The following is an 11414-nucleotide window of genomic DNA, read 5'->3' as shown; positions in this document are numbered from 1 at the left end:
AAATCTGAAGCTAAGAGGAGGCTGGAGGGGTTCCAAGGAGGGATAGCCATCACCAGTCACTCCGTGGCCCCAGGCACCCCCCACCCCCATAAGCCAACTGTCCTCCATGGTGGTACCCAGCAAGGTGTGTTACAACAACCTGTTTGTGTTTCCCTCTGGGGCTTTGCCCAGGGATCCAGGGGAGTGAGGGCACAGAATTCCTTTTATATAAGGCTAGGATTACAACCTGGCCTAGGGGTTTTTGAGCTACCTTCATTAGGGCGAGAAAGTATGGCCCACCTCCCCCCTTCATTGTGGAGATATAACCTGGCTGTGACCTGGAGGGGTTAACTCTGGATCCCATGCCCCAGTGTGTTGTCACCGGCATTTACAACAATGTACTCTTAAGGACTCAGCCAGTGCCCACATTGTCACCAAATTAAAAGCTCAAGTCACCTAGTCACCTGAGCTTTCAAAAAAGGGGAAAAAGCACAAAACAACAATCACAAGACCACATGTATCTCTGTGGCATCTTCCCTTCCATGGGCTTAGCCCCCTGAACAACTTGACTTCACTTATCCTCACCTCCCTCCCCAGGCTGCTTGCTGCAGGGGAAGGGGCGTCAGAGCAGACTGTCTCCCCAAAGAATCCTCCGAAGGCCCAGAGAGGGCACAAAGGGGCCCAGGGTCACCTAGCAGATTGGGGGAAGGGGCAGTGAAGCAGAGAGCAGCCCACACAGAGGTCATGCTGGCTCCCAGTTGAGGGGCAAACTCGGCCCCGCTTGGAGGGCCTCACCTTGGGAGCGCAGTGGCCACTCCCCACAGTCTGTGGCTCTGAAGGCAGTTCAGAAGGAGCCAAGGAGGAAGGGGAAGGTGTTCCAGGTGAGGGGGAAGGGGAGAAAGGGGTGGGGGTGGAGAAAAGTGCGAAAGGCAGCCAGGAGCCAGCGGCGGCCCCAGACAAAGAAAGTAGTGATTGGGCCAAGGCACAATAGTTGTACTTTGTCCTGATGTCCTGTCACCTCCAATATTCAGGGAAACTCTCGCCTGTGTGGGTGTGGGTGGTTAATCTAGAAGCCGGTGGATGAAGGGACAAAATCTCTCCTGAGATTGGAAAGAAGGTGAGGAGAGAGTCACTGGGTCTTGCTGTTTTCCACACATTTCTCCAAGTGGCTTCACTGCAATGGAAGGAGGTCTTGTCCTTCACTCCATCCCCTGACCCCCAGGTGACTAGCAGGACACTGATCTGCAGGAAGGGCAGGATACAAACCTGGTGAATTGAAGGAGAGAGAATTGGGTTGGTTCCCCTCAATTCCCTGACCCTGACTGTGGGTCAATCTCTGTCTCTCTCTCTCTCTCTCTCTCCCCGCCTAGGTCTTTGCAACAAAGCATTAAAAAGACAAAGAGAAAGCAAAGGAAAGGGCCTCTTTGGTCCAGTGCCAATGTCCTAGCCCCATGTGGATCTGGAGGTTTGACTTGAGGTAATGATAAGTAATGATGGCCAACTGATAAAAAGATTGGAGCAGAGGAAGCCAAGGAGGGTAACTCTCCCAAGAGGATCCAGTCAGGAAAGGGGGAAGGAATGGGGAAGAGGACCTAGCTGGAGAGAGGGCAGGGCAGAGTCACTGTCTGGGGAAGCTCACCTACCCACACCACCCCTAGGCCCATCAGCCTCTGCCTCTCCTTCATGGGCCCCAGTCTAATCCCCTGACACTAAGCTGTCCCTGATGAATTGCATCTCCCCAACACCCCCAGGCATGCTCACCTTCTGACACTCCAATCTCTGCTATTCCTCCAAGTCTGACCCCAAAACATGCCCATTTCTGCCCCTGTTCACATCCTCCACCCCTACCCTGTCTTGGAGGGAGTCCTTCTGCTGGGAAGAAGGTATGGCATGTGGTGGCAACTAAGGTCCCAAAGCTGTATCTGCCCTTTTGACCTGGGCCTTGCCTGAGAGCTGAGCTAAGCTCCAATTTGTGAATATTTGTAGGGACTACCAGGCACCAGGCTCCATGCTGATTTTATAGGAGGTACAGGGACATCTAGGTAGGGCAGTGGAAAGTACAGGGACTTTGGATTCAAATGGACCCAAGTCACATTCCTGGCTCTGCCACTCACTGTGTGGCCTTAGGTTATTCAACCTCTCTGAGCCACAGCTCCCCTCATCAAAAATAGGAGTAAAAATCCCTGCCTTAGAGAGTTGCTGCACACAGACAAATGTGCACACAGCTGCCCCAGAAAGCAAGATGAGAAAGAGGCCCTGGGGGAGGCACAAGTGTTGTGAAGGTATGGAAGCAAAGAGCCAGACTGGCTAGAATGGGCATCTGGAAGGGCTTCCTGCAGGAGGTGGCTTGGGACATGTATTCCACAAGCAATTATTAAACTCAGCTTGTGATCTCTGCTTTGTGTTGCACCCTGGGACTACAACAGTGTCAGTGGGGGCTTCCTGTCTGGAGGTAAACCAAAGAGTAAACCAAAAATGGGAATTCTCTGAGGAGCATTTAATTGCTGGGAGTAGGGGAAGGCTTCCTGGAGATGATACTTGAGTTGGGTCTTTTTTTTTTTTTTTTTTTTTTGAGATAGGGTCTCACTCTGTCGCCCAGACTGGAGTGCAGTGGCGCCATGTCGGCTCACTGCAACCCCTGCCTCCCAGGTTCGAGCAATTCTCCTGCCTCAGCCTCCGGAGTAGCTGGGACTGCAGGTGCCTGCCACCACACCTGGCTAATTTTTGTGTTTTTAGTAGAGATGGTGTTTCACCATGTTGCCCAGGCTGGTCTCGAACTCCTGACCTCAAGTGATCGGCCCACCTCTGCCTCCCAGAGTGCTGGGATTACAGGCGTGAGCCACCGTGCCTGGCCTTGAGTTGGGTCTTGATGGAAGAGCAGGAGTTTAGCAAACCAAGTGGACTGCGCAAAGAGAACAAGCAAGGGAAGATACCCTGGAAGGTTCTGATGGCTCACACTGAGCCCTCCCAGTACTCCTCTGAGTGATAGAGACTTTGAGGCTAGGCAGGGCAAGGGATTAGGGCGTCTTCAGAAACATTCCCAGCCAAAGCCCACAGAGACAATGCTGCTCCCTCAGGGGGTGAGCTCCACACTGCCTTCCCCGCCCCCCGGGACAGTTTGTCTCTGTCAGAGAATTTAAACAAGCCAACACTAGTGGTAGGTCCAGCTCACACATGGAACACCACTGTTGCTTGCCCCAGGAGTGAGGGGAGGAGAGCAGAGGACACCAGCCTGTGACGAGCACAGGGCCACTCAGCTGGGCCAAGGCATAAAGCAGAAAGATACATTTCCTCCAGCTTTAATCCCTCACTTCATTACCTGGTACCCAGAGCCCTCCTGTCTACCTGTCACAGGCATGTGGCGACTTCGAAACAGCACTGGGCAAAAAAGTCCTGAGTCTGGCTGGGTGTGGTGGCTCACGTCTGTAATCTCAGCACTTTGGGAGGCCGAGATGGGCAGATCACCTGAGGTCAGGAGTTCAAGATCAGCCTGGCCAACATGGTGAAACCCTGTCTCTACTAAAAATACAAAAGTTAGCCAGGCGTGGTTGTGCATGCCTATAGTACCAACTACTTGGGAGGCTGAGGCAGGAGAATCACTTAAACCCAGGAGGCAAGTAAGCCAAGATGGCACCACTGCACTCCAGCCTGGGCGACAAAGCGAGACTCCGTCTAAAAAAAAAAAAAAATTTCCAGAGTCTGTTGCATGCTGTGTGACCTTGGCCGAGTCAGCTCCCCTTGCTGGACCTCAGGCTTCTCCTGGGTAAAGCATGAGGTTCCACTCCCTAAGCTCTGAGGCTCTGTGAGCCTGTAACATCTCCCTCAAACACTCCAGATGAGATGACTGATACCAAATGTCACATCTTCCAGGGCCTGTGTGTTTTAAAAGCCTCTTGGAGAGGGCAGTGCTTAACTCAAAGAAATCTAGCACTAGTGGTGAAATCTGGGGCTCAGCACCAAGTGATGGAAGGGAGAAGCAGTTCTTATGAACCCCTCAAATCCCAGCAGGTAGGGAACCGCTTCCTCTGTTACCTGAGATGCCAGACCTCTGTCCTTTCAGGAAAGACACCAGCTTGATGAACCCTCACTGTGAAAAGCCTCAGCCACCCACCCACTCCCCTTTCTCCACCCCACCACCCCCATAGCGAGTAATGGAAAAAGCCAGACAGGCTGGGTTTGATCTTGGTTCAACACTTCCAAGCTTTGAGACTTGGACAATTCACTTATCTTGTCTGAGCCTCAGTTTCCTCATCTGTAAAATGAGGTTCATGGTTCTTACCTCCCAGGGTTGTAGGGAAATATATGGAAACAGCAAACATCAGCTAAGCTCCTTGCCCAGAGTAGGTATCATATAAATGTTTTTCCCTTCCCTGTCTCCTGTTCCCACCCCCATTCGTGAGCAAACTCTTAGAGAATGCAAACCCACTATCATCTGGCTAAAGTAAAACAGAAACAAATAGGGAAATGGGTTTACCCCACCCCTGGTTAAAAAAAAAGAAAAGCAAGAAATTACATAATGCGTGCCAAAGATGACTAGGGGTTGGGGGATCTGTTGGCTTGGATCCTGCTTTAGTCTTTATTTGAAGCAACTATGTAACTAGGTTGTCACTGAGTTGACTGCAATGTGAGTTCCTTCGGGGAAGTCCCAGGAAAAAAAAGAGGCAGGGACCCAAGGCGCCCCCTACCTCCCAGCAAGAAGGGCCCCTTCCCCCAGCAGCCCCCTGGGCCTGGGCTGGAAGCTGGGGCGATGACCTGGGCCCCCCAGGATGGTTCACAAAGATAAAGCCAGTTAATGATTGGCCCCCTGATTGGCCCCCTGAGAGCTGAGCTAAGCTCCAATTTGTGAATATTTGTAGGGACTACCAGGCACCAGGCTCTATGCTGATTTTACAGGAGGTACAGGGACATCTAGGTAGGGCAGTGGAAAGTACAGGGACTTTGGATTCAAAGTCCCACCATACTCCCTGCTTTCCCAGACCCAGAAGTACAGGGCATGAGGAGTGGGGAGGCCTCCCCTCAGCTTCCAGGATCAGCCTGGCCCAATAGCCTCGAGATATTCAGGGAAGCAGGCAATTAGTCAGAGGATATCCATGTCAGGAGAACATCAGACTGTGCTCCTAGGAGTCTTGAGGGTCCTCAGAGATGGGACAGGTAGCAGGAAGGTGTGGGAGTGGGCAAACACAGTACATGCAGTTTTATCTGCTTCATTTATTGGCCCCTCACTTGGAATTTCATTTGAGGAAAAGTTTCCACTGCTAAAGAAGCTTACTGGCCAGAGGAGCAGAAGGAAGCCCAGAGTTGTCCAAAGCCGGAGCGCTGCATAGAGTCAAGACCTCAACCCAGATCACTCAACTCACAGCCTGGGGCTCTTTCTACCTCCCCAGGCCACTTCATCATTTAATCGGGGCCCAGCACTGAGCCAGGCACCTTTGGGATACACTGGGCTTCTGCCTCTAAGAGCTGACTGGCTGGGTGGGGAGCCAGGCAGTGCCAGAGAGGAGGTGCTAGAACTAGATGCCGCGTGCATAGGAGTGTGTCAGCAGCTGACCCAGGGATCTGTTGTTTGCTCCTCCTTCCCTAGAGGGGCTCAGCACTCCCTTACTCCAGGCAGTGCCCTGCAGAGGCCACAGCTAAACCATTCCCTACTGGGGTCTCCTGGAGAGATGGTCCCGCCTACATCTCCCTGCATGCCAGCCTGCTTATCCAGACCCATCTCCTTCCAGAACACAGCTGGAAGCATCAGGAGAAGTGAGGCAGGGCATGCTCAGAGCTGCTGTGCCTGCTGCCAGCTTCTCCAAGTTCCAGGACCTGGTCGCAGTCAGCTCCAGCTGTGGGGCACAAGGCCCCTGCGGAGCTCAGGATGATGGCCAAAACATTTAACACCTGCTATGGCTCAGGCACAGTTCACATAGAGCTGACGGCGTATGCCAAGCCAGACATAAACCTCAATTTCTGGATGGTGGAGAGGTCCAGGGGACCAAGTAAGGGACTGGGGTGGCCAGAGAGGCACAGGGGGAACTCAAGGACTGGAACAACAGCTATTTACCAATCAATCAGGAGGCGTGCTGGGGTACACCAGGTGAATGTCTGCCCTGCCCCAGTCCGCTCTTGACTCTAGGCTGGAATGTGCAGCTCCCTGCTGAGAATGAGGCCTGTCTGGGTCCCTGGTCTGCACGCCTCCCTACCTCCTCCTCTCTTGGAAAGGCCAGGCCAGGACTCCCCACTAATCTTCATGCATAAGTGTAGCCCACACCCAACATAGCAGGTACCTCACCAGGCCTTCAATTCCAGAGGCCAGGCCTGAGGCGGTGGACTCATGGGACCTAGACACTGTTGAAAACATGGTAGACAAGGCAAGCCCCAGCTCTGGGGTGGAATTCCAACCCCAAGTGTCCAGATCATGGACAGTTATGGGTGAACAGAGCATTTCCTTTTCCCTTCCTTCTCTGTCTTTCCTCAGATGTCTCCATCCCTCCTTGCCTCCTTCTTTCTTGCTCCTTTCTGCCTAGCCCCATTGTCCCGGGGCCCTCCTGGGTCAGTCCCATTGACTAAGTGCTCCTCTGTGAGCTTAGCTACTCTGTCCTCAGCTTTCTGGAGCCCCCTGGGAAGGTGACTGCTCCCCACTTCCCATTCACTGTCGGGGAGCAAGCCTGGGCAGTGGGGAACAAGCTAGGAGGAAAGATGCTCTTCACATCCCCTCAGTTCCTTCTAGCCCTCCAAGAACTAGGAAGAACCTGCAAAAAGGGCATTTCTGTGGCTATGGGACATACTCCTGCCTGTCGGGATGCCAGGAGAGTTGGTACAGCAACTCCAGAGAGAGCAACAAATACAGTGCGGAGCACCAAGCCCCCTCCATAAGACCCTGGCATGACCAGAGGTCTTAAGGAGGACAGAGGGAGGCACGGTGAATCTGCCCTTCACCAACTCTGACCGTAGCCCTGCGGTGGCATCTCCTCCCCCACTGCATTTCCCTCCCGTCACTCATCCACCAACCCCCTGCCTCTCCATGCCTCCTCAGCTTTCCAGGCTGAAGGCTGCAGGGACTACTAAACCACACATACACACACACAAACAAACCCCGTCTACCACCACCACCCACGACAGGGCCCCATAGAGAAGAGAGAAGTGTTTCCAGAAACCCAGCTGTTCCAGGCAAGCTGACCTGGGTCACAGTGGCCTCCCCACCAAGGCTACAGAGAGACTAGGCATCGGCTGAGCACCCCCTCCCAACACCACCACAGGAGTTACCTTGAAAGCCCCTCTGACAAATAGTGTCCCTGAAGCCCTGTCATTAAGCACTCTGCTCCCCGAGCAGTTCCTCAGATTGCCATGTGTGGGTCCTGGAGGTTAGGACACCTGGGTTCAAACGCAGCCACTGTCACTGCCTTGTTGTGTGGCCTGGAGCAAGGCACCGCCCATCCCTGCCTCAGTGTCCTCCTTTCCAGACTGAAGGGGCTGGACTGATTGCTAAAACCCCGTTAGGGCTCCCCCTCTATTGCTGTAGGGAACGGGAAGGAAGCTGTAAAATGAGAGCTGTGGATACTCCCGCCTGTGTCCTGGCCGACTGCAAGAGACAGGGAAGGACCAGGGAGCACCATTCCAGGACCATCTTTTAGAGATACTATAAAGATTACTCAAGTACAGTTGGGCAGGGAAGCAGAGAAAAGTAAACTCTTCAGTCCATTGTCTGACCAACATCCTGAGTTTGCCCATTGCCACCAACCAGAACAGCTGAGATTACAGCAAGAAGAATTTAAATCAGATAAGCAGAGGTCTACCAAACTCATCTTCTCTAGAGGATTTGTGGAGTGATAGCAGCGGGATGTCTTTCTACAGACTTCTAGGCCCATTTCTGGCTTGGATGAAATGCTGGGGAGTGGGGGAAAGGAAGAGAAGACAAAGGAGGAGAAGGTGAGCCAAGATGTCAGCTCCCAGGCACCCGCTTTGGGAGAGGGGATAGGCAGGGTGCCCCTGCCTGCGATCCAGGAGCTGAAGTGGGGGAAGGAATGTGTCAGGGGTGTGGTGGGGCTGAGAGAGGCGGGAGAATGGAATGAAAAGGCTGTCAAGTGGTGATATGAGTGTTTGTGGGAAATACCGAGAAAGACCCTTTCCTGGTGGGAGGGGATGAAAGGGAGCCTCAGCCCTGGGCTCCCCCAGCCTGACTCCAGGGACTACGGAACCATGTTGGTGCAGGGCCTGAGGCCTCCACTATGACATTAGCTTGGGCAGGGGAGCCCAGAGCCACTGTTTGAGGTGAGATAACACACACCTAGCCCTGGCCCCAGGCACTGGGGAGGGTAACAGGACAGAGATCATGAGGAGTAAGGGTGCTTGCTTCCTTCCCCCAGACTCCTGGGCTGCCCAGACCACCCCTGCTCTTCCTCTGGGTGGAAGCCCCAGACCTCCCCAGGGGCAGCAGGTAAGGCTCTAGGGAGACATCTATCCTCGCTCTACTCGTGGCCTGGCCCTGGGGCAGGTGGAATAATTCTGTGACTCATTCCACAGTTACTCCTCCTTCTCTTCCAAACCCAGGAATCTGGGAGATAAGGAAAAGGATGAGCAAGAGAATGGGTCCCCTTTCCCCATACTTTAGTCAAAAATAATGGACCATTTGAGGCAAGGCCAGTTACTTCGATGGGGGCCAGGTGAGCAGGTGTGTTGTTATGCAAATGAGCTTATGCATATGTATTATGAGGAAGGGTGGGTCTGCCCTGCTTACTCCCCTCTGGAGGCCCACACCCCAGCACCGAGTCTCCCCGCCCAGAAAGGTTTGTTAAGTGATTCCACAGCCTCTGTCCACTCTGGCCTCTCCCCCAGGCTGTCTCCACACCACCATCCTCACCTTTTTCTATGTGTCCTTCCCTACCAGGAGTTGAAGATTTCTTCCACCGTCTCCCAGGTTCTGCCTACATCAACCCCGATCACAGCCACCTTGGGACACAGCTCCTCACACTTCCTCCCCTCCTGTCCTAAAGGTCCTCAGGGATGTCTGGCTCTCTAGAACGGGGCCACAGTCCCCCAGGGCTGGCAGGGGCAGCCTCCAGGCTCCTCGAAGCTGCCCAAGAGGGAGGTAGGAGTTGGAGAGGGGCTGTCCCACTGGCCTGGCTGGGTGCGGGTTAGGGAGCCCCTTCTCTGGCCCACAGGAGGGAAGACCCGCAACACCCAGACAGAGGTGGGCGGCCTTGAACCCCCTTCTGCCTGAGACGACAGAACAACCTTGCTGGGCACCTTCCATCAGTGGGCTTCAGATGTAGCTGTTGCCCAACCGTGGCCACACTCCAGACATTCTCTGGAAGCCCAGGGCCCCCTCCTCAGTCAGGACCCCTCCCAGGTACCTCACCTAGTGCCACCCCGAGCCTCTAGAGGGCGAGGGAGAGCAGTGCTGGACTTCCCAGCCTCTGGGGCATGCCCAGGAGGCTTTCTGCACAGGCCCCTGGTCCCTGAGGAGGGGGCACCACGCCGGAGGCTGTCTATCCAGACTCACCCTCTAGGAGCAGAGAAGTATGAGGTATGAGCCAGGGCTGGGACGGGGACTGCTTGGAGGATTCAGGGACAGAAAGGTAGGCTGGACTGTGGAGGACCCTGAAGAAGGGTAGGTTTGAGTGGTGGAAATATTATCTGAGTAATATTCAGATAATATGCTGAAATACACTGTTCATTTGAGTACAGAAAGGAGAGCAATGGCTTCAGCCTCAGGAATCTCTGCCTGACCTTGGAAGAGAAAGAGACTTCTTGGCTCACATTGCAAAGCACCACTACCCTCGCCCCATCCAGGGTCAGAACTAGGGAGAGGCAAGCGAGGCAGCTAGGCGAGGACCAAATGTAAGGAGTAAGGAGCTGCTCACTCTTATAAGGGTCGTGCAGGTGCAGCGCAGGCCCTAAGAGTGAGTACCTCCTTAAACACTGCACCAGGCCCCGCCCTCTTGGGAGCCTGCCTGGGGACTAAAGCTGCAGGGACATTTAAGACAGAGTTGGGGTGAGGAGTAGGGTCACTTTTTCACACTGGACCCCTCAAAGGAAAGAACTAGCACCTAACTCAACTAAAGGAGAGTGGGGCCACAGATGAGGTGAAACAGACAACTGTCTTGGCCGCGCCTGGGCTCTGTGTGTGTGTGCCTGTCTGTGACAGTGTCTGTGCGTGTAATTTGTTCATTCAGATTGTGGATCTCCCCACTTCTAGCTATCTGTCCCTGGGCAAGTCATGCAACCTCTCTAAACCTGAGTTTCCTTGAAAACCCATGCTAATAATACCTATACAGGGTTCTTGTGAGGATTGAATGAGATAATATATGGAAAGGGTGTAGCAAGAGCACCTGGCCTGTGCATAGCAGGAACCAAACAAATGGTAGTTTCTATTCCCATTATTATTCATAATATGATTGTGTGTGGCCCCTTCTTTCCCCTGCCCCCTTACACATCCATCCCACTCCAGCCAGCCAGGTCTTCTGACAGCCCCAAGCACAGGTTGCTCATTTCTTCATCCTGGTCTATACAGTGCCAGCCGTGAAGATTTGCCTCTTAAAACATGAAGCCTTCTTAGACCACTTCTGCTCAGCAGTCTCCCCTAAACTCCTACAGCATGAGCTGTCTATACCTCTTCATCCAGCCTCAAATGCTGTCTGATGTATTTAATTTTGTAAAGGGGTGTGTGTGTGTGTGTGTGTGTGTGTGTGTGTTATCTTTCTCCAAGTGCATTCACAGAGAGAGTGTATTTTTCAGTGATCTCTTACCCCATACAAGCCTAAGGACTAATACAGGCCTGCAGGTATAGACATCCACATGTAGACTTCTTTTCTTTTTTTTTGTTTTTGTTTTTATTTTTGTTTTTTGAGACAGGGTCTTGCCCTGTTTACCAGGCTGGAGCGCAGTGGCATGATCTCAGCTTACTGCAGCTTCGACCTCCTGGGCACCTCAGCTGCCTGGGTAGCTGGGACCACAGGCATGTGCCTCTATGCCTGGCGAATTTTTGTGATTTTGTTTGTTTGTTTTGCAGAGACAAGGTTTAGCCATTTTGCCCAGGTTGGTCTCCAACCCCGGGGCTCAAGCAATCTGCCTGTGTTGGCCTCCCAAAGTGCCGGGATTACAGGTGTGAGCCACCATGCCCAGTTTACTTGTAAACTCTTTATGAATGAAAATAATAATGGTGACCGGGCGCAGGGGTTCACGCCTGTAGTCCCAGCACTTTGGGAGGCCGAGGCAGGTGGATCACCTGAGGTCAGGAGTTTGCCAGCCTGGCCAACATGGTGAAACCCTGTCTCTAATTAAAAAATACAAAAATTAGCCAGGTGTAGTGGCAGGTGCCTGTAGTCCCAGCTACTCGAGAGGCTGAGGCAGAAGAATCACTTGAAGCTGGGAGACGGAGGTTGCAGTGAGCCAAAATCGTGCCACTGCACTCCAGCCTGGGCAACGGGGTGACAATTGGTCTCAAAAAAAAA

At 53.2% G+C, this 11414-nt stretch overlaps 5 annotated features.

Moving 5' to 3' along the window:
• Positions 2757-3258: an enhancer, noted in NCBI's record as "H3K4me1 hESC enhancer chr6:43732509-43733010 (GRCh37/hg19 assembly coordinates)". NCBI's record gives its function as "activates a minimal SCP1, AML or CMV promoter by ChIP-STARR-seq in naive H9 embryonic stem cells {active_cell/tissue: H9 hESC(naive)}" and the evidence as "EXISTENCE:reporter gene assay evidence [ECO:0000049][PMID:30033119]".
• Positions 6744-7244: an enhancer, noted in NCBI's record as "H3K4me1 hESC enhancer chr6:43728523-43729023 (GRCh37/hg19 assembly coordinates)". NCBI's record gives its function as "activates a minimal SCP1, AML or CMV promoter by ChIP-STARR-seq in primed H9 embryonic stem cells {active_cell/tissue: H9 hESC(primed)}" and the evidence as "EXISTENCE:reporter gene assay evidence [ECO:0000049][PMID:30033119]".
• Positions 7245-7745: an enhancer, noted in NCBI's record as "H3K4me1 hESC enhancer chr6:43728022-43728522 (GRCh37/hg19 assembly coordinates)". NCBI's record gives its function as "activates a minimal SCP1, AML or CMV promoter by ChIP-STARR-seq in primed H9 embryonic stem cells {active_cell/tissue: H9 hESC(primed)}" and the evidence as "EXISTENCE:reporter gene assay evidence [ECO:0000049][PMID:30033119]".
• Positions 9101-9637: an enhancer, noted in NCBI's record as "H3K4me1 hESC enhancer chr6:43726130-43726666 (GRCh37/hg19 assembly coordinates)". NCBI's record gives its function as "activates a minimal SCP1, AML or CMV promoter by ChIP-STARR-seq in primed H9 embryonic stem cells {active_cell/tissue: H9 hESC(primed)}" and the evidence as "EXISTENCE:reporter gene assay evidence [ECO:0000049][PMID:30033119]".
• Positions 9426-9485: an enhancer, noted in NCBI's record as "active region_24616". NCBI's record gives its function as "activates an Ori minimal core promoter by ATAC-STARR-seq in GM12878 lymphoblastoid cells {active_cell/tissue: GM12878}" and the evidence as "EXISTENCE:reporter gene assay evidence [ECO:0000049][PMID:35858748]".

This window comes from Homo sapiens, chromosome 6, assembly GCF_000001405.40.
Source record: "Homo sapiens chromosome 6, GRCh38.p14 Primary Assembly".
NCBI lineage: Eukaryota > Metazoa > Chordata > Mammalia > Primates > Hominidae > Homo > Homo sapiens.
The sequence above is the reverse complement of the archived record's forward strand: the minus strand, read 5'-3'. Positions and strand labels throughout refer to the sequence as shown.